This window comes from Homo sapiens, chromosome 1 (genome assembly GCF_000001405.40).
Source record: "Homo sapiens chromosome 1, GRCh38.p14 Primary Assembly".
Classification (NCBI taxonomy): Eukaryota; Metazoa; Chordata; class Mammalia; order Primates; family Hominidae; genus Homo; species Homo sapiens.
In genome coordinates, this window is record NC_000001.11 from 154,794,109 (window position 1) to 154,819,968 (window position 25,860).

Consider the following 25,860-nt stretch of genomic DNA (forward strand, 5'->3'; position numbering starts at 1 on the left):
GTTCCCTCTGCCTAGAATGTTCTTCCCTTCACTCTATGTCAAGTTAATCCTATTCATCCTCTGACTGGATCAATCTAGGCTCCTTGGAGTACTTACCACAGTTGTAATTTTACAGTCATTTGTGCAATTATCTGACTAATGTCTGGCCTGTTCTGAGGCTATAAGCTGCTTGAGGACAGAGACCATGTCTGTTTCTATGTCCATGTTTTCCCCAGAGCTTGCCCTTAAACATAGATGCTTAATAAACACTTGATGAATGAAAAAATGAGGCACACCTCAAAGGAGCTCAAGGTCCTGGTGGGAGAGACTCTCTTTGGCTCTCCATGTAAATGACTCCATCAGCCCTCTGCTGCAAGATCAGTCTTGCTTGTGAAGAACTGAGTCCTCTGATGGGATCAGGGACCCTCTGAGAGGAGAAAAAACTTGCATTATAGAGGGTAGACTATTGTTATGCTCTTTATTATCTTTGACTATTGCCTTTCTGGTCTCCCTTTGAATTAGTAGATTATTCAGCTGTCTTGAGGCCCACAAGGAACAGGCATTTTGGTCCATGGATCAACCATGGACCAAAGGTGGACCTCTGTGGAGGGCTCATTCACAGAGGTGCAGGAGCAGCAGTATGCCTGAGGCTAGGCATTGTGCATGGAGGTGGCACTGGAGGGAGGAAGGACTTTGAGCCCATCTAGAAAGAATGCTGGGATCGATTGGTTATGTCTGTTATGGATGCAGCATGGGAACCCAGTAGCGAGCCTGTCACACATTGACCAGGCATACTCTGAGGAGGCAGGGAGCTCGTTTTCACTGACTTCCTAGAGAGCTCTTTTTCATCCAATCCCTGAGGATGTCTGCTCTGTGTAATAAGGGGGGCTATTTCTTCACAGTTAGTTGTCATGGCTGGATTTCCCATAGCTGGGTGGTTCCATAAGTAGCCTATACTTAGTTACTGAGACAGGCATAAATTTAGGTCTTTCACATTTACACGGAAAATTCTCTGAAACGAGTCCTGTGAGAGAATGACATCCTAACGTGCCCAGGAAAGCAGAGGGACCACCATGCCCGTCGCCCAGCCCCTGTGGTCTGTGACACTTGTGCAGCCGCTGGCTAACCAAAAACTGAAGGTCTGGGATTAGATTGCCTTTGCGTAATCTGGGAAGCCAAGTCCCTTTTCTGACTGGCTTCTGAAGAAAGAATCTGGTCACCCATTGGTAGGCTGACTGCGTGAAAGAACGCACTTTGCAAACATAAGAGCACACACAGGGGCCACCCCACAAAGCCACCTCTGCAGTGGTAGTGTCGAGTCCCCCACCTACTGATCACAACGTGGTAAGGCTTCTCTGAAGGTTCCAGGACCATCAATTCATGTCTGGAAGTACGGTGGAAGCTGCACATCATTCACTGCTGTGCCACACATTCCCTGAGCCACCCTTCTGTCAGATGCTGTATAAGGCATGGGGACTCAAAGAGGCACGGGCCTGGACCACCCTCATATAACTCAGTAAATGAGCAGTGATGTAAACAGAGGAATATATTGCATATAAGAGGTGCAGCAAGAGACGTCTGTATGCATGAGGCTCCGTGGGGGCACTGAAAGTTGGTGGGGGTGGGTCAGGGAGGACAGCTCAGGCTTAAGAGATGAGAACAGCACTTGGAAGGAGGAGCAGTACATGCAGAGGCCCAGAGACGTGGACCTGTGGGGCACAGGGGACTCCAGGGTAATGGGCACAGGGGACTCCAGGTTGACTGGCACAGTGTTCCAGGAGGAAATGGCACAGATGTGGCCGCAGAGCAGGGCAGGGCCAATTCTGGAGGGCTCTATCTGCCCCCCTGGGGAGTCTAGACTGTATTCTAAGGACAAGGAGGAGCAGCCAAAAGTTTTCAGACAAGGACAAGGTCCAGTGTGTGTGTCTGTTGGATTCCTCACAGCTGTGACGATGAGGTGAGGTGGTGCAGAAAGGGTGAGGAGGCAGGGTACAAGTTAGAGGCTTCCCTAACAGTCCACATAAGACCTGGTGTTGGGGGATGAGTGGAGGTGGCGAATACTGCAATCGAAAGGTAATTTATGCCCACTGGAAAATACCTTGGAAGATATACACTCAGCAGTGACGGAGAAAGAGCTCATAAATTCTTATTGCCAGGTCCACATTTCTCCAAGAGTCTGGCCTCCCAGGACCATTTTCCTGGTCTCCACTCCAGATCTGAATTCTTGCCCCTCCCCTGGTCTCCATAGCTCTTTGTTATTAGTCTGTCTTCTTTGAATTACAGTCCACAGAATATCATCTCCCACCCGTCTGGGAAGAGGTTGAGGGCAGAGCTGGCATTCCACGTCTCTGTATTTCCCATTGGTGCCAAACATACACACGCACGTACAGACATGCTTTCATGCACACAGAGATGTCTAGATATCATTTTTTATTGGGTAAAAAAAAAATTTAGGTGCAGGGACTGCCCAAGTTACAATTCATCTGGCTGCATAGGCTCACGGTGAACTAGTTACAAATTTGTGGTTTGGGAGACAAGTCATGATTCAACCGATTCAACCGATTGTGTCCGTAAAGCAGCTGGGTTCAGAAGTGTCTGAAGCTGGGGGCCCCTGCCGCTGTCAGCATGCCAGCTCACCGGTCGATGTGCACAGCGAACGCTGGCCAAGCTGTGCAAGGCACTCCGGTGGCATTGGTCAATAATGGGGCAGGCAATGAGGCAGCGCCCAGAGGATAAGACACATCTTTTTTTGATTGTGTGGCTTGTTTTCTTGAGGAATGAAAGGGTTTTCCAAATGAAGATAGTAGAATGGAAACAAATGCAAAACCAGAAATGAAAAAGGCGTTTGGGATCTAGGACTTAAATGTATCTAATCCCGGTGTGCTTGTGGACATGGGGGTGATCTGCTTGGCTTCATCAGCAGCCTGCGACAACTAGTGGCCTACAAAAAGCTAGCCCTGCGACAGTGTCATCTCACTCCCAATGAAGCCAGTCTCCGAAGGAGAGGAGAGGGTAAGACCATCTAGAATATCCACCTCGTCCCTCCCCCTAGAACAGGAGACAGAGACAGCAGTGAGGCTGGGCTCACAGGTCTGGCCTTGGGGTCCCTTAATGCTCATACTAATGGTTACCATATTACCTGACATTCTGTAGTAGGTTGTCCTAATTTCTGTAGATAATCAAGGATGGTGGAAAAAACCTGGACTTCGGAGTCAGGCAGAGTAGGGTTCGAATTCTGACTCCTCCACTGACTGGCTGTGTGATTTTGGGCAAGTTAATTAACCTCTCTGAGCCTCACTTTCCTGAGGAGATAATACTGTAGTACATAGCGAAAGGAAGTATTAATAGAAATAAATCTCACAATACCAAAGTAACTTTCAGAGGTCGCCCTTGAAGCTACAACCCTAATTCATTTCTTCCTCCATGACCCCCCATCACTGCCACATTCCGTTCTTTGTCTGCATCTGAATTTACACGGACTTATTTGATTGATTCCTTGTTATTGCCTGTCCCTGTGCCTTCCCACTAGCCTGGAAGCTCTATGAGGGCAGGGATCATATCTGTCCTGTTCATTAGTGTGTCCCCAGTGCCAGGAACAGTGTAAGCACTCTTTCAATTTTTGGTAAATGAATTGAATGAGAAACACAAAGCTTGGCATATAGCAGATGCTGGAGGAATTCTGATCAGTGTGACCCCAGAGACCTAGAAGGACCAGAGGCGTGGACACAGGGGTGTGGCTCTGCCTGAGCAAGTCTCTGTAACTTGCTGTGTGGACTTTTAGGTGTCTTCTCTCTCTAGGCCTCAGTTTCCTCATCTGTTCAATAAGAAGGATGGTCTGATGATGATCACTGAGGCCTTCTCCAGCACTCTCTGGCTCTAATTGTCTTGGATCCTCCACATGGGCTCTGGACTAAATAGAACAGGAAATCCAGCTCCATCACTGGAGCCTCCATTTGTAACTTTCAGCTCCATGACTGCCATACTAAATCATCCCGAGAGGCCAGGGTACAATTCCTGGGACAGGGTAGATATTGCAAATTGCCAGCAGCAACTGGTAGCCCCACTTCTCCACTCCCCCAACCCTTATGGCCCAGCCACCCTCTTGGACTCACCAAGACACATCTGTTAGCCTCAGACCTGGTTTGAACAAACAGGAAGAAAGGAAGGACAGAAAATAGGTGGGCATTGACCTGTACCAGGCCCTATGCCAGGTGCTCTGACACACAGTGCTTGCCTGGTCCTCTCCATAGCTCAGGAACATCATTATCCCCATTCACAGATGAGGAGAAGGTATATTAGTTATACCCATGAAGGCAGCAAATAGCGAGGCAGGACATTCGCCAAGCCTTCTAACTCAAAGTCTCACACATTGAACAATTTGGTGGAGTTTACACCCTAGGCCTCTTATCTCTGACTATTAATCAGGCTATTCCCAAGTGTAATTTATGGCAAGAATACACTACTAATTCAGGAGCAGCCTCTATGGGAGACATTGTTTACACTAATGTAGTAATAAGAGCAAAGAAAAGAGCTGACATTTCTTAAGGGTAATGGGGACCACAGTGACAAACACATCACAAGCATTCTCTGGTTTTGTCCCCACAAAAACTCAATGAGTAGGCACTGACACTGTACCTACTTTGCAGATTAGGGGCACGAGACTTACAGAGTGTGTGAAGTTACACAACTAAGAAGTGGTGGAGCCAAAATTCAAATCCTAGTCTCTAGTTCCAGGCCTTCCATCCTACCACCTCACTATACTGTGGGCAGACTGGTGAGACCATTGCTATGAACTAACAGTCAATTACACAACACTGACACTTATTGCATTTTTTTTTTTTTTTTTTTGAGACAGAGTCCACTCTGTCACCCAGGCTGGAGTGCAGTGGCACAATCTTGGCTCACTGCAACCTCTGCCTCTTGGGTTCAAGCCATTCTCCTGACTCAGCCTCCCAAGTAGCTGGGTTTATAGGTATGCACAACCATGCCTGGCTAATTTTTGTATTTTTAGTAGAGATGGGGTTTCACCATGTTGGCCAGGCTGGTCTCGAACTCCTGACTTCAAGTGATCTGCCTGCCTCAGTCTCCCAAAGTGCTGGGATTACAGGCATGTGCCACCATGCCTGGCCTAAAGCACACTTTAAATAATGATTTATACTAACACAGTTCTTATTATATGATCAAACTGAAAGGAAAAGAGGTCAGTGGTCTCCAGTCTCAGCCAGCATTAATGCCAAATGGATTGGGTCATACTGTGGGATTAGGTCACACTGTCGGATTAGGTCAAGGGCTCAAGATCACTGTCACTCATTGGATGAATGCACAGCAGTGCCAGGCATCTCCGTGTTCTAGCCAGGGCACCTCTAGAGATTATCCCTGTGAACTGTCCAAAGAGCGTAGCCAGAGTCTCCAGAAAACGAGGGCAGGCTGACCCGCTTTTGGAGCCCACAGAGACTTTCAACCCATAAAGTGAAGCCACCAGGGTTGTGTCCCCTCCCCTGCATAGGGTCATGTAGGAATTTGCTGGAAATGCCCTAGAGTGCAGTTGAAAAGGCTTAGCTCCTACTGAAAGCAAGGAGAGCCTCCACTGCCTCCTTCCTGAATCCGCAAGTGCCCTGGGGTGGGGAGACCTGTGCCCCTACAGCGGACAGCCAGCTGATCGTGGTCTGGAGCTTCTTGGTCAGCATGGTGGCCTCATCCCACAAGAGATCTGGCAGCAGAGCATGGGACCCAGGAAAGGTCACTGAGATTAGTTCTGTAGCTGAGCATGAAACTGACTTTGTGCTGGGGCAACTGCAGCTCTGCATCCCACGTTGGGAGGCAGCCACCCCACCTTTTGCTGCCTGCATGGTCCTGGGCAGGTCCCTTGACCTGGCAGCACCTCAGCTGCCTCACCTGTAAACGGAGGCCACATTCATCCACTCACATGCAGGCGAAGGGTGTGACGTATGCATGGGAAACAGCCTCGTTGAACTGTAGATTCCTGAACGAATGTAAGGGAGTTTGATTTTCTTATTTTGGATCCCAAAGTCATCATTGTCATTGTGCTGTTGTGATGATTCATTGGCTGTGTTCTTACAGAATGGGACATATAAGCAGCTCACTTGGAAATAAAGGGGAGAGCTTGTCCCAGATCACAGCCACAGTCTGGAATCATGAGGGCCACCTGCCCCTGCTTGAGAAGGTGTAAGTTTCTTCCTTCACCCATCCATTCTATCGCAGATGGATTTCCATTGCTTTCCCACCAGGGCCAAGCTCCTGTGCTGATATTGGTACACGGCGGTGGCCCCCTAGCTTTGCTCTGTCCTCACAGAGCTGTTGCTCTACCACAGGACACAGATAAGGAGTCCAGAATTGGCTCAGAGGATCTTTCTGGCCCAAACCCTCACCCAGGAGATGGGTGCTCAGGGCCGGTGATTGTTAAGAGATCCCAGTACAGAGCTCCGAGCTGGCCTTGTTATAACCTGGTGAGGATGCTAGACCCACAGGAAAAGCAGACACCACCCCACCCTGAGAAGACTGACACTGGCACCTCCTACCTGGGCACCAGTTCTGATGCCAGCCAGCCTGAGAAAGTGACTTCCTGGGGGCCCATTAAGCAGGAGTTCCTTCCCTAGACTCCAGGCTTCACCGGGAGATGCCTGTTAGGAGGAAACAGATTAGGACTGTATCCATCACCAGGTATGGTACCTCACGCCTGTAATCCCAGCACTTTGGGAGGCCAAGTCAGGCAGATGGCTTGAGCTCACGAGTTTGAGACCAGGCTGGGCAACATAGCAAAACCCCATCTCTACAAAAAATACAAAGATTAGCCGGGCATGATTGTGCGCGCCTGTAGTCCCAGCTGCTTGGGAAGCTGAAGTCGGAAGATGGCTTGAGCCTGGGAGGTGGAGGTTGCAGTGAGCCAAGATGGTGCCACTTCCCTCCAACCAGACCTTATCCCCCGCTCAAAAAGAGAAAGAAAAAGATTCTATACACCAAGCTGGCCAGTGGACTCCAGCCTCCGTCCTCCTTTCTTTAGGATTCTGGGGGAGATGAGGAAAGGAGGTGGGGGGGAGAGCCTCACCCCCAACACAGGAGGCCGTTCAATTTTACCTGGAAAGCCCTGCTTCTTTTCTCACTGTCCCCAGCTAAAGGGAACCATTTATCCCGGCAAAGTAGAAGAAGGCCGTTTGCATTCTGAAATGAAGCATCAGCGTGCAATGACAGTTAAGGTCCCAAGATACCCCCGGAGTCACTTTTTATTCTTTTCTATCCACAATCATTAGGGGAAAATCTCTCTGCAGCTTCTGTAAAACCCATTCACTAGAGGGAAATAGATCAATGAGAAAGCCAGAGCCCAGAGAGCCTGTGCTGGCGGCTCTGAAGCAAGAACATCCATTCTTCCCCAAGAGCCTACGCCAAAAGGACAAAGGATGCTCGCTCCCACCCCCTGAAAGAAGAGTTAGCCAAAAAAGTTCTTTAACTAGGAATCTATTTCTTATCCTTTATTCAGTAAGAACAAAATCTCTTTCTGAGAGTGACATATCTTACACTTCAAACAAGTGCAACTTTTGCCACTTATTTTTAAGTGCGCTTGCCTGCCAAAGGGATAGCAGGAATCCAGGGGGAGGAAGAGGCAAGATGGTGGAGGCACAGCTGTTTCCATAGCTGGCATCTCTAGCCAACAGCTGCAGGACCTGGAAGAGCTTGAAGAGCTGACACCCCCGGAGGATGCACAACCCCGGAGTGAAAGACTCGGCCTCCGGGGCTCTGTTTGCTGATGTCAGCACCAAGTCGGGGCGCGCCAGGAACGCTCTCAGCAGTCTGATGGGAGTGGGCATGCAGGCAGCAGAAGAGGAAGGGGCCAACCCACAAGAGCAAGGGAATAAGAACATGGCCTTTGTTCACTTGTTTCTTGATTGGACAATTATTAGCACTTACTGCATGCGGGGCACTGGCAGTAGGGGTGAGATGAAATAATAATAGTAACAAAAACAATAGCAGCTACCATACTGAATTCCTACCCTGTACCACTGCTTTCTGAGCATTATTTCATGTAATGGGCACAGCAACCCCTTTAGGAAGGTACTGATATTAGATGAAGAAACTGAGGCAGAGAGGTTTAAACAACTAGTCCAACAGCTAATAAAAGGCAGAGCTGGGATTTAAACGTGGATCTATTTGACTCTTGGCTAGAGAAAGACAAATGGTTGATGTGGGCTTACTGAGCTTCTCAGTATGAGCAAGGCACCAAACCTGCATGGAGCTCAAGCCACTACCCCGCACCCAGGAGCTCACTCCAGAGCCAGGAAGGAGGGGAGTTTGAAAAAACACAGGGAGCAGGGGTGGGTAAGATCTATTCTCACCCCAGGTGTTCAGTGACCTCAGGGCAGCTGGCCAGGGGCAGGGCCCAGGAAGTATGGAGCCCAGCCCTGCTGTAGAGCCTGATGTCCAAGCTCAGGGGCTCAGCATTATCCAGAAATCACCAGATGGTAAGAAATCACCAGTGGTGAACAGAGGATGACCTACTCAGTCATGGTTTAGGAAGACCAACAGCTGCAGACTAATATGGATAACCCAAGAATATGAGGCAAAATACAATTTCTACACTATTAAAGAAAAAAAAAAGATCCATTCATCAAAACCCTCCAGCCAGGGCTAGGCATGAGACTTAACCCCAGGGACCTGAATGTTCCCACACAGCTCCACCTACTAACATGGGTGTGCATGGAGCCCCATCCAAGAGGCAGACCCACACAGGCCCAGTGGCTTCGGCCTGGGTTTCCTCTGGCTGTCACTGTTAGGCTCCTTTCCTGGCCATATTCTCCAGCTGCACCAGCCTTTCTACTTAGTTGTTCTGCCTGGTTGGAGGGGAGAGGCTCTCTGTCTTTGTGAGGGCCCTTTTCACGCCGTGCATGACACCTTCCCACTCTGGCCTCTCTCATAGCTCACTGAGGCTGTGCCAAGTGCCTTATGTTAGGGATGGAGCAATTCACCATGGAGTCACCTGGGCTGCAGCTGTATGTACTGGACTTCAGACTGTGGCCAGGCTTTGTGAAGTGGCTCAAAAATGCCCCCAGGCCCTAGACACCAATGAGCCTGAGGGCCCTCCTTCCCTGCCCAGAGTCCTAGTGACTCTGGAAGCCTAGAAACAAAAACAGACATTTCTGACCACTAGCAGGGCACAGGGATGGGTTAGCAAGGCTTTCACGCAAGCCCCAGGCTACTGTAAACATTTTGCCACAAGCAACACTGGGCTGCAGATGAAAAAGGCCAGCAGTATGGAGCAGGTTGCTCCAACAGAGGCAGTGACACTCTGAGCTATAGGTCAGCAGTGACACCTGTCATTTGGGGATGATCTGGTGTCATTATTAGCTCAGTAAGCCCTTTATAAATAAACACGTTCATCAACATCTGTCTGCCTTGAGACAGTTGTTTTTCTTCAAAACACAAAAACTCACAAGCCCATCAAACATTTGCCTGCCCCACTGTAGTCCCCAGGCAGACATGAGTTTGCATCCTTCACGTGGCATATTTTACAGTTAGAAACCAAGGAGCGTTGAGTCCTGTTTTTAAGTGTGTTTGACCAAGAGGGAATGGGAAACATGCCAGGGTGTGATGTGGCCCTGGGCAGTGTACAGCTGTTCCCACAGCTGACGGAGATTCCTACAGTTGCCCGCCACACCGGCCAGCAAGCTGTTAATCTGAGCGAGAGATGTGTGACCATTTGGCTGGAGGGGACAGGAAGGAGGCATCTGCCCAGGCAGCAACCATTCTCTCTACAGAGCCTCACACACCAAGGATTCACCCCTCCCTCCTTTCCCACTCACCCATGGCCACCTTACCACATGAGCATTCCCAGAGGAACATTTTCCAATCCCTGCCTGTGTGGGCTTTTAAGACCCCGTCTCCCCGTGCAACTCTGCATTTTCCTTGGATGTCCCTTTTGATTGCTGTCATTGCTCCCTTGTTGGCATGACACGTCCTCCTTTACCACCCTCTGCAGTGGACTCCAGCCGCTCTCTGGGATGCACCTTGAAAGGAGGGTAGGGCTAGGATTTGAAGAGACTGGCTGTTTTCTTGGAGAAAGCCACCCCGTTCCTCTCCCTGTGAGGGGCATTTGCAGCAGGAACTGGGATGCCACTGACACCTTTCAGATTAATGCGTTCACTCACAAACACTAACACAATTGGCTCGAATTCACAACTCATGAAATGAGTCTAAGGGGCTTAACAGGGTGTTACAGCCCACAGCTTCGCAAATGCGGATGGATGGCAGGACAAAACGCACTAAGAGTTTTTTATTAGTGCTTAGAATTCATGATATGCCTTCACGACCATGGTGAATCCCCACATCATGATGTCCCCATCTTTATTATTCCACAGCAACGTGGTTCCAAGTCAACACTGTATTATATCATTAATTAGCTGTTCACCTATTTGACTCCTTCCCTTCTCCTTACCAGCCCTCTCCCTCCCAAGACCATGAACTATTTGAAGGCAGAGAACACATCTTATTCTTTCCCATCCTGGCACTGAGTAGGGAATCGGTATCTGCTGAAATTAACTGAATCCCACAGATCTCGGTGAAGACAAGAGTAGTAGCAATACTGGTAACATGAGCAAATACATAGTCCTAATCCCTTTTACATATATGAAAGCATTAGTTCTCACACCAACCCTAGGTAACGGCTATTCTGATCCCTATTTTATAGATGAGGAAACTGAGGCACAGAAAGCTAGAATCGTTCACCCCAAGCTCAGTCAGGAACTGGCAGGGTTCGGCTTTGCACCCAGGCAGTCTGGCTCCAGAGTCAGACCTCCAACCCTCTGCACACACTGCCTTTCAAGCTGAACTGATGCAGACACCGAAAACATAGTGAATTACATTTTCAAGGAAAGACTCTATAGAAATATAGCATATACAAAGAGGACATTAAAACAATTCTATTCTGCAGACAGCCATGCAAGAGGGGCGTGAGAGATGCCAGAGGAGAGAATATGCCCCATTTCCCATGGGAGGGTCCTCTCTACACATCTAATGCTGCTCGGCACACAGTCAGGGTTCGAGTGAGGCGGTGAAGAGGAAACAGGGGGACCTGGGCGTTCAGGGAAAAGGCCCAAAAGGTGGGAGGGGTGTGTTCTGGGCATGGTCTAATCAGACTATGGACACAATTGTCAGGTAGGGGGAATGGCTGTGGCCATGGGTTAGTTCAGGGCAATGATTCTCACATTCTGATGCACTTTCAAATCACCTGGGGAGCTTGGAAAAATCGCCTCTATTCAATGCCTCCCCTGAGCAATTGAGCAATTGAGCAATTAAATCAGAATCCCTAGGGGTGGGACTCAGGCACCAGTATTATTTTAAAGCTCCCAGGGCAATTACAAACTACTTTTTCTCAATCCAAATGTGAGAAGCACTGGTTCAGAGTTTATGCAGTATTATTCACCAGTCTCTTCTCTGCATTATGAACTAAAACGGTGTGTGGGGATTCCAATGGGTGGGCTCTTTTGATCTCTACTTCTCCCGCTGTGGTCGGCTGTTTGGGGCCATTCTGTGGGAATGAGCTTTCTCTGGGTTTCTAGGGGGCCCTTTAGGGTAGTAGTAGACTTCAGATTGTGCAGCTCCAGTTCAAATTCCAACCTTGCCACTTACCGGCTGTGTGACTTTGGGTATGTGATCTAATACCCTAGCCTCAGTTTCCTCATCTACAAATAGAGGATTGTGGTAGGCAGAATAATGGCCCCCCAAAATGTCTGTGTCCAAATCACCAGAACCTGTGACTATGTTATAAGCAGGAATTAAGGATGCAGATAGAATTAAGGCCGCTAATCAGTTGACTTTAAAATAGGGAGATTATCCTGGATTATCTAGATGGGCACAACATAATGACAGGGATCCTTAAATATGGAAAAGAGAAGCAGGAGAGTCAGTGTCAGAGTGATGTGATGTGAGGCTTCCTAGAGCCCCGTGATGTCCGTGAACACTGCACGAACTAGTGTTTCTACTTCCAGACTCTATTCATGAGAAACAACAGGAAATGGGGCCGTTGTGGGGTATGGGTAGGAGAAGTGGAAGGTTGAGAAGGGAGGCCCCTAGGGAGTGTTCCTGGTCACCAGCTAAGAAGGGACCGTGGACATTGTCAGCAAGGACTTTGGAGAGTTCATCTCAAGGTGTTGGGTACCCCACCTGCTGCCAAGAACAGGCAAGAGCTGCACCACTGTGCACCAGCAAAGGGCTGGATTTGCAGTGGTGATCTCCTTAGCAAGGAGAGTCCAAAATTAAAGTCACCGAAGTCTCTTGTTTGTGCCAGGCCCTGGTGGGCCCTTTAACCCAGCTCTCTCAGCTGATGCTCACAACATCAGCATGTGGCCAGCATTATGACCTGTTTATACAGAGGAGGAAACAGACTCAGGGAAATTCAGTGATTTGCCCGAGGTCACCCATTAGACGGCAGCAGAGCTGAGATTAGAACTCTTGATTCTAAATCTAGAATCTTCCATGTCATACCATATTTCATTTTCTTTTCATAAAGGCCTAATTAATACTGCAGTCATTATTGATTCAATCCTGAGAGCATGAGAACACAGCCAGTACAGACTATTAATCTGCATTTCCTCCTTGAGATGTGCCAGCCATAAAAAATGTAGCAGCTTCAAAAACTACAAACTAGAAAGGGGCCTAAAGGAAATTTGGTGCCCAATGAATAAATCTTATGTCAGCTCAGGATTGTTGTAATTGCAGTTCTGTATAATGTTCATAAGGCTTGGGTTTCCTGCGGTCCCTGAAATCGACCAGGGAGGTGAGGAAGGAAGCAGCCATTCCCCACCAGGGTGCCCAAGGACTCCCACCAAATTAGAATGTGGTCCCAGCCCCGGGAACTAAATTTATCCTGAAAGGACATTTGGATCAGAATGTTCTCTGCTACAAGAGATCCTGTCCCTCATTGTCCTCCTCTTTCTCTTCTTCCAGAGCCAGGCAGTATTGGCTGTAAAACTCAGCCCTGTCAATTCAGCTTGAAAACCACACATACACATGCAGTCAACCCGCAGCAACAGACACCACATGTTTAGATTTGAAAGATGGGAAAGACTGAGGCAAGCAGGAAAGGAGAGGCCGAGGACATACAGAGAAGGTGAAACAAGGTGGTTTTGGTGAAGCTGAGCGCAGGGTCAAAGAGGAACTGAGAAGAGGAAAAAATGTCCCCTGGTGGCTGTGGACAACTCGAGCCCGTAACCCAACAGCAGCTGGGGCAAGTCATTCCCTCTACAGCGCCAGCTGCTCCTTCCCAAGCCACGCAGCTCCTCCTACCTGCCCCCGCACTTCAACCTTTTGAGCCCACTTAACACTCAGAAGCCCCCCGCACAAAGTCGGCTTTGGGTGATGTCACTGCTGCTGCGGGTGACAGCCAGGCCCTGGGGATAGAAGCCTGCTCTGGGATGGTGGCGGTTTCCAGCCACCCCACCAAACCTGCAAGGTTGAATTCTGCAGGCAAAGGAAGGATGTAAACTCCCTGCCTGGGGGAGAAGCTAAGTCCCCGAGGCTGCTGGAGAAGAGTGTATTTTTAGGCATAGGCTTGATTTGTGAACAATAAGGGAAGAGCAAAATTGTAAAATCCTAAGGTTCTTGTGAAGTCTGATCAGTGTCGCTCCTGCTAAACATCCAAAAAGATCCGACAGAGCAAGACAAACTCGGGCTGCCCTCAAGCCCTGGCTCCTGGTTGGGTGGTGTTCAGTCAGTGAGATCAGAACCTCAGCGTTTTGGGGTGGGAGGGGTGTTTTTCCATTCCTCTGACTCTTAAACAAGAGTGTACCAGGTGGCTCTCATCTTTAATCCTAACAATCTCCCAAGGAGGGAGATTCATCCACCATTCCTCTAGCCCAACCCTGTACTCTAAGGTCAGAGCAGGTCCCAGTGATTGAGGGGGGTTCAACCTGTACCATAATCTACACCCGTCTCCCATCCCCATTCTTACCTCTCAGTCTTTGATACAGACTATTGACATTCTCTCCATCTTACATAAAATGCTTTGCAGGTGCAACCTGAAGACAAATTCCCTGGCTTCCCTCTCCCGCCATCAGATCGCCATCCCCCAACCCCTTCTCATAGATAGAATGGGGCTACTACCATTTTAGACCTGGGTGCCTCATCGCTCCAGCTGCTGCTCACCAGGATCTGGCTCCAGCCCTTCTTTCTATTCTCACCTTTCAACATTCCCTTTACGATCAGCTGCATGCCTCCCATTCCGCAGAGCCCTGAGCTTCTGCATTCTTCACAGCTGCTGGAGCTGGTCCCTTCCCCTAGAGGACCCTCGACCCACCTGCACCTGCTAGAACTGACCCCATGACCATCTCAGATGCCCTGCACAGCAGCGTCCTCATTCCCATCTAGGTGGAACTGTGCGCCGTGCCCTCCACACCCTTGTCCTCAGCACCAGCAGCCAAGGCGTGTGTGTCTGCGTGCTTATCTCTCCATTAGATCACAAGCCTGTTTAGGGCAGGGACCTTGCTGTCCCCACGGTGCCTGGCTCAGAACAGCCCTTCAATAGCTCTGTGCTGAATGAATTAATCACCTTTTGTCCAGTCCTCAGGGGAGAGAATAGTTGCTATTTCTAACAGCAGCAGGAAGACAAATATCGCCCTGCCCACTCCCCCGCCTCCCATTCCACACATACACACCCACTGGTGGCAATTTCTCTTTGCTCTCAAATCGATATGGTTTCTAGCACATTCTAGCAAGAAGCACCATAAAGAGCTGATAGGGACCTTGGAGAGCCCTTAGCTTCCTCCCCAGATGCACAAGTGAGGGATCTGAGGGCAGTGAGGGGCAGGGTCTGCTGGCGATCACACAGCAGGCAGGTGTCGGGCGGCTCCCGCAGAGCCGCCTCGTGGCTCTGAGTTCAGAGGCGGTGGCTGCTCTGCGCCCACTGGATGGCTCCGCCGTGTCTGGTTACTGATCTCTGGTTTGTGGCTGTGCCTGATGTAGTCACAGGTCAGTGGTCATAGCCAGGCCCAGCTGCTGTGGCTGAGCAGTGTCTCTGAGAACGTCCAGCCACGGTGGCCATGCCTCAGCACTCTCCTGTGACACAACGTGATCTCACCGAGTGACCAGGTGTACGGCTTCACCCGTCCATTTCACAGACTCAACACTCAGCCCCAGCAGCCAAGCCCCAGCACCAGCAGCCACGCTTTCATTTCACAGACTGTGAGTAACACGAGACCGGGTCCAGTCTGTAGTTCACAGCTCTGTCCCATACCAGGCACCGTGCCCCTCACAGAGCATGGCTCAATAAACACGTGTTCTATGAATGCAGAGCAGGCTTATTTGGGGGCTGGGGTGGGAGGGCACATAAAACTACAACCTCACAGGAGGCCACAAAACTTTTAAGATGAAAAAGATTTGCAAATCCTTGAAGTTTCTTCTTTACTTCTCCTGTCTTTAGTCCAACCAAAGAAAGTTTACCTCCCAGATTTGACTTCTGGTTCGACATTTGTATCAATGGTTTAGATGAAGCTATTATACTCAGGCTCATCACATGTGGGAGGGCAGGAAGCTGGGAGGCCCCCAAATACATGTTGCTGAGTGAGATGCTAAAAGGCCTGGACAGACTAGAATGAAGGGCTGAAACAGCTGCAGGGAAACGTAACAGAAGAAAATGAAAGGTACAGTTCTCACCTAAAAAGCCAACGGTATTAGGAAGGATGGGAGATTGAGGGGGCAGAGGGTGGGGAGCTGCTTAGCAGCTCATGAGAAGACAGAGGGGTTTTAGTAAATATTCAATTCAATATAAACTAACAGGCTACCATGAAAGCTAAAAGTCACTGGCTGTCTTTGGCTGCAGTAACAAAGTGAGAAAGCAGGTCGGTGCCTTCTGTACTGACCTGATCCCAGTGGTGTGTAAGGGTCAGTGTGTCACCAGATCCCTGGGCTGCTGTGGACCAAGCAGATCCTGTTCAGAGTAGCAAGATCAGGGTGGAAACAGGATTATTGACATGATTATGGCAGGGAAGTGGGGGCATTTAATCTAGGGAAGTCCTGGGTCCAGCTTAGGGGAGTTTGGGTGGAAGGCTGCTGGCACCTTACCATAGGAACGGGCAGAAGGAGGGGAGAATATGGGCGGGGAAACAGGAAGAGCTGCTGAAGCCTGACTCACCCAGGCCACTGGCAGCCCAAGGCACAGTGTCTAAGGGAAAGACCAGACTCAGCCCAGGCAGATGATGGCTTGGGGTTAGAGGCAGGTCTGATCCTGAGGGCCTGGGGACTATCAGGGACACTGTGACTCCAGGCGAGCAGAAGTAGAAGTCAGCCCCTCAGAAGGCAGGGAGGCAAGAAAGAACAAGACCCAGTATGGGGCTCAGTGAGGCTTCAAGGAAGACCCTAGCCTTCCTTGGGATCAGAAGGCAAGGCAGAGAAACTGAAGCGGGTCCCAGTTCTGATGGCTGGGCAGGTTACCCTGAGATGGCTGCCCTTCTACCTCCCCAAGGGTGCTGGGCCTCATCCTTGAGGCAAGCCTTGGACCCAAGGGGAGGACAATAGGGAAACCAGGAGAAGGAAGGGATTTTAATAGGCAGAGGAGCCACCACAAGGCACAGCCAAGGTGGGGGTGTGGCTGGGATGAGGGCCTCCAGAGCTGCTGCAAGGTTGGACCAACACTGGGTTACTGTTCAGCCCTAGGCTTCCTAATATTCACCCTTGTTGGAGGGAAGTCCCCATGACTCAGCCCACCTTCTAGGCTGCTTCTAGCCATTGTAGGAACCAGGGGTAGAAGAGTTAATTTGAGGACGGGCCTCTCTCCCCCAGGCAGGGCAACCTGGCTAGCTTTGGAGATGGTCAACTCAAACAGTTGACCTCAAAACCCTCTGCCCTCACCAGCCACATGACTGTGGACACATCTCTTACCTTCTCTGCTTCAGTTGCTTTATCTATAAAGGGGGTATGAATACAGAGCCTAACTACGGGACTGTCGCCAAGAATCACTGAGATGATAAAGTAAAGGCACAGTCTCCAGCACACAAGAGATCAACAGATGGAGGCGACACTATTACCACCTGTGGGATTACCAACCACTTCCCCAATCGAAACTTGGAATCAGAACCCCGGCCCGTGACGTTAGGGCGATGGGACAGGGTAAAGGTAAGTTTAGGGGCTGACAAAGTGGGAGATGCTTGTGGAGATGATGTGCGAAGAGAGCTCACCACAAGCCTTGGTGGAGGCACACAAGGCCACACAGAAAATGACAAAAGTCAGTTCTGGAGATGGATGGTGGTGACAAATATACAATAATAAGGATACAAATATATATATAAGAATATAATTAGACAATTAACGTCACTGAACCATATACTTAAAAATGGTTAAAATGCTAAATTATAGGTTATGTATATTTTACCACAAGTTTAAAAAGTGTTTTAAATGAACAAGTCTCAACTTGGACCCAGGTCTACGGACCGCAGGCTCAGTGTCTCTCCCACCATCATGCTAACAGGACAGGTTTGTATGGGAGATGCCTTTGGAGGAAACAAAACTGCTCAATTGAATTGCATCGAATTCTTTAATTCAAAGGTAAATCGGGGCAGTTCATCTCTTTTCCTCGTCCAATTGTTGGGTTTTGGAGAATTTGAGCAGTGGTGATTTTGCCATTTTTTCTCTTAAAAACAGGAAAATGTCATTTTACTAGATTTGTACTCAACAGGAAACTAGAATTATCAGAATTTTCTTGATAGCACAATGCAACAACACTTGTATAGAAGCCTCCAAACACTAAAGATTCAACAGTGCCTTCCAACTTTACAAATTCTCAGAGAGTCAATGATCCTTACCCCAGGAGTCACTGAGTCCTACTATGCACAGTGCTCTTCGTTAGGCACAGCAGGGGTGGCTGCAGGGATGATTGGGAAGACGCTGGCCTCCCTGAGCTTAATTGAGTGCCATGTTTCTTAATAAGAGTGTGCACTGGCCCCCCTGCGGTGCTGTCAAAACACACATTCCCAGGCAGTGGGGTTCACCTGCCTATGCAGGACCCAGATATGACACGGGGGATCTGAGGCACACCCCTGATTGAGAACCGCTGCCACGGGGGAAATGATCATCATTGAAAAATGGTAACAACAAAACCAAATAGAACGGATTAACTTTGAAAAAGTCAGGGATGACACACCTTGGCACTCTCAGAGAAACAGAATATTCTTTTTTTTTCTTTTTTTTTATACTTTAAGTTTTAGGGTACATGTGCACAACGTGCAGGTTTGTTACATATGTATACATGTGCCATGTTGGTGTGCTGCACCCATTAACTCGTCATTTACATTAGGTATATCTCCTAACGCTATCCCTCCCCCATCCCCCCACCCCACAACAGGCCCCGGTGTGTGATGTTCCCCTTCCTGTGTCCATGTGTTCTCATTGTTCAATCCCACCTGTGAGTGAGAACATGCGGTGTTTGGTTTTTTGTCCTTGCGATAGTTTGCTGAGAATGATGGAGAAACAGAATATTCTATTAAGCTGAGCACTTGTTCCCCATGACTTTGGAGAAGTGGGAGTGCGCGTTCATGGAAGGAGTTTGGAATGGATTGTTAAGGCAGGGGACTTGGCCACTTACTCTATTATCCTGAAAACTTTAAGCTGTCTGACCAGCTCCTGTGTGTAAGAGACTCAAGAGGAGTCACCTTTAAACTTTAAGATGTTGGAGCCAAAGAGCTGTCTTTATTATTGTTTTCTATGTCAAGTTTGAGGCTGTGTTTAGGGGACAGCCAGCTCTGTGACTGGGCAGAGGCAAGGCTATTAAGAGAAGGGACAGAAGTTGTTCGGACAGTCCCACAAAGGGCCTCCTGAACACAAACCAGGTCAGTCATTGTTACCAAAAACCGCTCACAGCCACTCTCCCGACATTTTCCTCTCCTTGTCAGGCAGTGCCCCTCAGACATGGAATTCTGGCTACAATCAGAGTTCTCAGAGATCCTCTGGCCTAATCTGCCCACTTTACAGACAACACAACTGAGATTGAGCTAGAACAAGTAGCTTGTCCAAGCTCACAAGTGATCAGCATCCCAGACAAACTGGCCCTGGCCTCTCGTCCCATGTAGAATGGGCAGAGGGTTGCTGGGGTGGGAGCCCCTTGGGCAGGGCAGTTGTTAGGCTGCTTTTTTTTTTTTTTTTTTTTTTTGAACATTTTCATTCTCTCAGCTGCCCATGCTGGGACTGTGATTTTTTGTATCCTGAGTTACACTGGAAGCTTCCTGAGAAGCGTGTCCACGGCCCCCTCACTTCACATGGCCTAGGGCGAGGACAAGTGTGTGGTTTCCAAGGTAACACATAGCTGGGTGGATTCAGCCTCCCGGGCCGCCTCCTCTTCCTGGGAGGCTTCATCTTAAGCCCGCAGGGGAGGAGGCGTGGGAGGCCAGGCGACGCACCGCCTTCCCATTCACAAACACGGACTCTTCCCGAAACCAGTCTCCCCTCTGTCCTCCTGCCAGGGTTCAAGGGCAGATGACCCCTCCCCACCCCGTCCTGAACTCCTGGAGCTAAGGAAGCTCCTGGAGGACTTGGCAAGAGGCGTTTGCCTGGAAGTCAACAGAACCCCAGCTGACGGGGAGGTCAAGCCTTAACATGCCCGGAGCAGGGCTTTTCACACCTGTTAATGGACACAGCACCACCCAGTGAGAGCATGATCCAGGATGACATTCCCCAGAGACAAAACAGAAAGTCAATACAGGCAGCCGAGAAACAAGCCTTGCTGCCACCACGAGCACACCCACCCCATCGGAGACGCCAGCCAGGGCCAGGGAGAGCAGCCGGGGGCCCTCACACCTGAGGGACAGGGAGCAGGGGCAGGAAAGCCCCCTCTGAGGCAGAAAGGGTTAAGCCCAAGTGTTTAAATGTTTAGCAAATAAAACCAAAATGTCACACAGAGACTGCCAGGGCTGGTGTAGTAACCATGGCAATCCATGGCCAGCGGCCGATCCAAGTGAAAAGGTGCTGGGATCGAGGTGGGCCTCCCAGAGAGTGGCAGGGAGGGCCATGGTGGGCATGGCCAGCTCACTGGGCAACCTGCTGGGACCCGCAGCCCCTTAGGATGCAGAAAGCACGGGCCAGATGCCAGGTCTGTGGGCTTCAGGTCAGGCTCTCAGCCTGTTAGAGGCTCTACTTTCTCCTTAGAATGAGGAGGGAGTAAATCTGCCATGCCTACCCCAGTTTTGTCATTCATTCATTCATTTATTCAGCCTACACTCATTGAATAGCACCTACTATGTGCTAGGCACTCTCATGCCTTTGGGGGTCCAACAGTGAAACCAATACAGTCCCCACTGCCATGGAGCCCACAGTCAGAGAAGGGAGTTGCAGGCAAGAAATAGTATTCACAACCAACATAAGACACGCAGGGACAAGTAAGAGCCGCTGCTATAAGAGCTGGTGCTAGGTCCACTCCTAGAAGGGGCACCCTGGGGTCAGGGAAGGGGGACGATGGCCAGAGAGAGTTCCTGGAGGAGGAAATATCTATGCTGAAACCTAAAAGGCAAAAAGGTGAAGGCGGCCAGGCCCAAGGCCTCATAGATGTGAAAACCCTCTAAAAAATACAAAGCGCTAGACAAGATGTGGCCACACCATCGTCTCTGAGGCGCTTGCTAATGTATCAGCTCTGAGCTTTCTGTCTTCAAAGTGTAGTCTGACGAGGATTTATTCCATGGTGTTCTGACTTCTCGGGCCCAGTTGGTGGTGTAGCTCCTCTCTCTATTTCTCCCTTTCTTTCTAGCCCCACTGTGCACAGCTGGGCCAGGCAGGAGGCCGAGGCCCAAAGAAGAGCAGCGCTCCAGTGAATCCCCATCACCAGTCGCTGTTCTCTGGAACACATTCCCCATTTTCAATTTCCCTTGTGTGCTGTGATCATCCAGGGGCACACTCATGAAAGTGGGACAGGAGAGGGATGTAAACCTGGCAGAGGAGGCCCCCATCTGGAATTTCCTTGTCAAGGTCTCCTCCCCTTCAGTACGAGTGGCCCGAGCTCCCTCCTTCCATCTGCTCATCACACCTGAGTTAAGGAGCTGACATGCTCAAACCTAGCCAGGCTGAGAAGTCTGTCTGGGGGTCTCAAGATCTCGGAGGTTCAATGAAGGTATTTCTAATTCATCAACCAACCAGCCAGAGACACCCTTAGGAAACCTCTACCAGGTGTCTGAAGAAGGATGGGGACTCTAGCCCCTACCTGGGGGGTTTGGGCAGCCTCCACCTCCCTTCGGAGGACAGGCACAGCTTCCTTCTCTTTTTTTTTCCTCTCCTGAAACGCTCTGGGCCAGCTTTGTCCTGAGCATACAAGGTCTCTGCTCCTGGCGAATGCAGGGCACAGCATCATCTCCGCGTGAAACCTGCCCAGCCTCTCTGGGAGAAATGCATCACTCCCTCCTCCGTGGCCACTTGGTGTTTCACAGACCCTCATATTATGGCACTTATGACCCTGGGTCACAGTGGATAAAGGTCTAGGACAAACCAATTTCCAAAGGCAGGAATCAGGTCTGCTTTATTTCTGGATTCTCAATGCCTAGCACAAAGTAGTCCTACAATAAATGTTTGTTGAATAAGTAAACGAATGAATGGACTCACCATTTTTATAGACTGTACTAGGGTTGGAAAATTTAGAGAGGTCAGTACGTGCTCTGCTATTATACCTTGTCTCTCAGTGCCAGGACACCTTACAGGTTACATTCAGGATGTGACTTGAGCCTGCTTTCTTTTACAGGGAGAAGGGAGGGTGAGGGCACAGAGCAAGACGCAACGTGAGTTGTCCTGTCTGTTCTTTCAGGGGAAGACACCACTAACTCATTTAGCGGTGGGACCCCAAAGCACCTGGGCCAGCAACACCTCCTGCATTACAGACACCCATGTCCCTGTGACAGCACATTACACGCACCCAGGAGGACACTCCCATCCACAGAGCAATTATGCCACAGGAAGTGAGGCTTCCTATAATTTATGTCCTGTAATTTCAAGTAATTTCCCTGTCTGCTCAGAACTCTATTGGTATTTAATGAAAATATCCACTTTTATATACCTAATAAATTAAAAGCCTCCCCTTTTTTTGGTCCCTTGTATTTCAAATTCATGAGGTTGAAGGCCCATAGTTTGTTACTACCGTTACGTTTCTGTTGAGTTTGAAAAAGACTGGAAACATCTGAGACCAACGCTAGATCTTGAGGGGATTGATATCCCCAGGCAAGAGTGGATCTCCACCCCATTGATCTGATTGATGCCTTTTACTTTGAATATGGCCAAGAACCACAATTTGAAATTAATGATCTCTGAAGCTCCCATTCTGGGACTGGATTATATGAACTCTGCCACTGCTCTGTATCCCATCCTGGGTCACAGTAGTCTCTTCAGTTTAATTCAATAAACATTCACTGACTACCTGCTACGTGCCCGGCATTGGCCTGGATGTAGGGACGGCACCTCCCATCCCTGCAACTTTATTAAGGATGCCAGGCTCTGCTCCACGCCTCCGGATGTGAATGTGTCTGCACCCCACCCCTTATTCCATGCCTGGGGCTCTGAGCCAGGCACTTCCTCCCAGGGGTACTGGATCCCTCCCATCCTCCCTTCCTCACTCCTGCCCCAGCTCTGGGCATCAACACCCCTCACCTGGCCCATGATGACGTGCTTCCCACTGTCCTCCTGCCTCTGAAATTGGCCTTTCCTATATTTGCATGCTGCAGATGAAGAGTGCTGTCTAAAATGTAAATCTGATCATCTCTGTCCCCAGCTTGAAACCTTCTCATAGTTTCTGCTGCTGCCTACAGGACATTCCAAAACCCTTCAGCAAGGCAAACAAGTCCCTACGGGTCCTTCCCACCCTCCATAGTGAACTTGCCCCTCTACCCAGGACCCTGTCCTTGAGACATTCCCAGTGTGCTCTGCAGTTCCCCATCTCAGAGCCTTTGTTTACTCTGAGACCTCTGTCTGGGGTATCCTTTCCACTCTGTCAGCCAGACAAACACATTCTTACTTAAGCTAAGGAGTTCTGCATATATTATCTAATTTAATCTGTACAATAACCCTTTCTGGTAGGTACTGGTTCCGGGTGGGTAGGCATATTCAAACCTACCCCCAAAGGCTGAGGAAGCTGAAAGGCTGAAGAAAGGGGCTGACATATCCAGTTTCTCAGAAAGAAGCATTTAATAGGGACTTATGAACAAAAGCCACAGTCTCTGGCAGCAGTAAGACAAGATGGTGGATCCTGCACCACGACCCCCTAGTCCCAGGGATTAAATACCAGAGGAAAGGGGTATATGTGCTTCAGAAGCAATTTGCCTAAGGGCAGGACTTACAGTAAACAGTAGATAAAGGAGAAATCTTAGAGGCTTTCCCGAAACTGGGTTAATCGGAAGTCAATATGGAGGATCAGCATCCAAGATGGAGTTGCTGTGGCCTCCACAGTATGGTTATTAGTCCTATTTTACAGAAAGGAAATAGACTAAGAAGGATTAAGTAACTTGCTAAAGGCCACCTACACACTAAATGTGACAAACAGCATGATTTGCGCCAAGCTGGGCTGCTCTGAAGTCTACATTCTCAGTAGAGAACGTTCCTCAAGCCTGGGTCATAACTGAGTTTTATGATTCTGCCTGCTAGCCTGCCTTCCAGGATGGCACCAGGGCCATTCATTAGAGCCATAGATTCACTCAAGGCTGATGACCCCTGGGAGAAGCAATGGTGAATTCTGAGTTTCTCATCTAGAGAACTGGGCTCCTGTCCTGGGCTCTGCACCTAGAAGAACATTATTAAATAGATGCTGAACCAATGACTGCACTTGGTGGGTCATCAAGGGCAAAGGAGGAGAGGATACTGGGGAGCAAGAGGAGTTCAGTGTTTTGTGTGTGGAGCCAGGGGCTGCCGGTGGCATGTAAAACGTGAGCCTGCAGCCTGGGGAGGGGATTAGCACGGTCTGAGAGCTGTTGGTGAGAGCTAAACCACAGAAGTAAATGGACTCTCCAAGGGAGAGCATGGTTTTCAGTCAGAGTTTTGGTAAATAAACAAAATGCATTGCTTCTTGTGTTTTCATTTCTCTCCCGGACACACTGGCCTGAGGAAAAGAGGTGCCTGAGTCTTTGAAAGGTCCGTGCTCCAAAACGCCAACAGAGAGGGAGACTGAGGAGAGATGGGGTGGGGTGCCATCTTCCAACAATGGAGGCTACCATGCGGGAAACCAACCCCTTCTTTTCCCTGCTCCAGAAGCAGAACCAGGCCAGGGGGCAAGTTCCAGGGAGGCTGCCTCTTCTCGGCAGAAGGGCGGGCTTTCTAAAGACATTGGTAGGGCAGCCTCTCCCAGGGGGGCCAGCAGCTCCGTCACAGTAGCACACACAGAGGCCCTGGGGTTCCTGCACTAGGTGGACACTACAGTTTAAACGTGTCCCCTCCAAAATTCAGATGTTGCCAATGTGGTAGTGCCAAGAGATGGGGCCTTTCAGAGATGTTGAGGCCATGAGGGCTCCTCCCTTGTGAATGGGATTGAGGCCTGTATCAAAGAGGCCCCATGCAGTGTTCAGTCCCTCAGCCTCCTGCCTTCCCTGCCTGAGGATGCAGCAACGTAGCGCCGTCTTGGAAGCAGAGAGCAGCCCTCACCAGACAACTGAAGCTGCTGGCACCCTAATCTTGGACTTCCCGATCTCCAGAACTGTGAGAAATACATTTATGTTCCTTATAAATTACCCAGCTTGGGTGAGAGTTACCCAACAGTGTTTTAGAATTCTTCTTCCTGAAAAACTCAAGCCATCTAAATGAACAAGTAAGAATACTGTTCTAAAAGGTACTCCCCCAGCCTCACATGTGTGCTGGGCAGGGCCTGGGTCCTGGGTGTGAGCTTCTGGGGCAAGGCTGGGGAAGACGGGGACATGATCATCTGGTCCCTGCTAAAATTTAGCTAGGTGATCAGGAACCACTGTGGATGAGGAAAGCTGTGAGCAGATTCCTAGCAAAGGTCCTGACATCACCCAAAGGGGAGATGCGGCAGCCACCCCCTGCCCTGCCTGCTTCGCAACAGGTGAGCAGCAGCTGGCCTTTGCCTGTGGAAGGGTGCTTGCTAAGCACTCCCCTCTGCATAACTTCATCAGTCACACTTGGGATAACTCCTTCCTCCACTCGCAGGAAGCAGGTTCCGCAGCTGGCTGAGCAGCCAGATCTAAATCAGAGAATTACAAGATTGGGGGGCTAAGTAATAGATGAGGAAACTGAGGCCCGAGACCAAAAAGCTAAGTCAAGGTACGACCAGCTTTGGAAAAGAGTTACCTTGAACTCAGCATGCTTTCCATTCAAAGAACGTGCTACAAACGTGCTATACTCTGCCGAGAAGAGTATACTGTCAGACACTATAAGTCTCTGGACATGCAAAGATTAATGCAAAGATAACTGTCCCTGAGGTAGGGAAGAAAGACACCCAACAGAAAACTACAATATGGCCCAGTGCGGTATATACAAGGGCGCTCCGTAGGAACCTCCCTCCCACTGACTCTCTGGGCCCAAACTGTTCCCATTTCCCTCTGGCAAGAGAAGGTCTAGCTGGGCACAGAAAGAACTTTACTGGAAAGGTAAGAGGCACAGAGGAAGCCGGTTTTGGTGACTTTCCTCAAGTGACGGAGGCTGCAGGGAGGATAAGGGGCTGGGTGGTGGGAGCTCAGGGTACAGGCAGGGCTGGGCCAGAGCAGGAGGAAGCCCAGCCACCTGCCAGTACCAGGCAGTCGTGATAGTGACCACCTGGTGGACCCAGCTGGTAAGTGCAAGGCCCAGCTAGAAGCAGTGGGACAAAGGTCACAGGAAAGGGACCAAAGTTTCCATTCTGTGAAAGCCCACTCTGTACTCTACACTGTTTCCAACCCCTGCAAGAGTTCAGCAAAGTGGGTGATGTGGTTCCCATAC

The 25,860-nt window shown here is 49.7% G+C and overlaps 1 protein-coding gene across 5 annotated transcripts in view, besides 2 other annotated features; it reads right to left on the reverse strand.

Moving 5' to 3' along the window:
- The window catches only part of KCNN3 (potassium calcium-activated channel subfamily N member 3), a 172,827-nt gene that overhangs the window by 96,654 nt on the left and 50,313 nt on the right, over window positions 1–25,860 (reverse strand). The gene's annotated exons all lie outside the window — the stretch shown is intronic.
- Window positions 18,807–19,466: an enhancer, noted in NCBI's record as "NANOG-H3K27ac-H3K4me1 hESC enhancer chr1:154785391-154786050 (GRCh37/hg19 assembly coordinates)". NCBI's record gives its function as "activates a minimal SCP1, AML or CMV promoter by ChIP-STARR-seq in primed H9 embryonic stem cells {active_cell/tissue: H9 hESC(primed)}" and the evidence as "EXISTENCE:reporter gene assay evidence [ECO:0000049][PMID:30033119]".
- Window positions 19,467–20,124: an enhancer, noted in NCBI's record as "NANOG-H3K27ac-H3K4me1 hESC enhancer chr1:154786051-154786708 (GRCh37/hg19 assembly coordinates)". NCBI's record gives its function as "activates a minimal SCP1, AML or CMV promoter by ChIP-STARR-seq in naive and primed H9 embryonic stem cells {active_cell/tissue: H9 hESC(naive and primed)}" and the evidence as "EXISTENCE:reporter gene assay evidence [ECO:0000049][PMID:30033119]".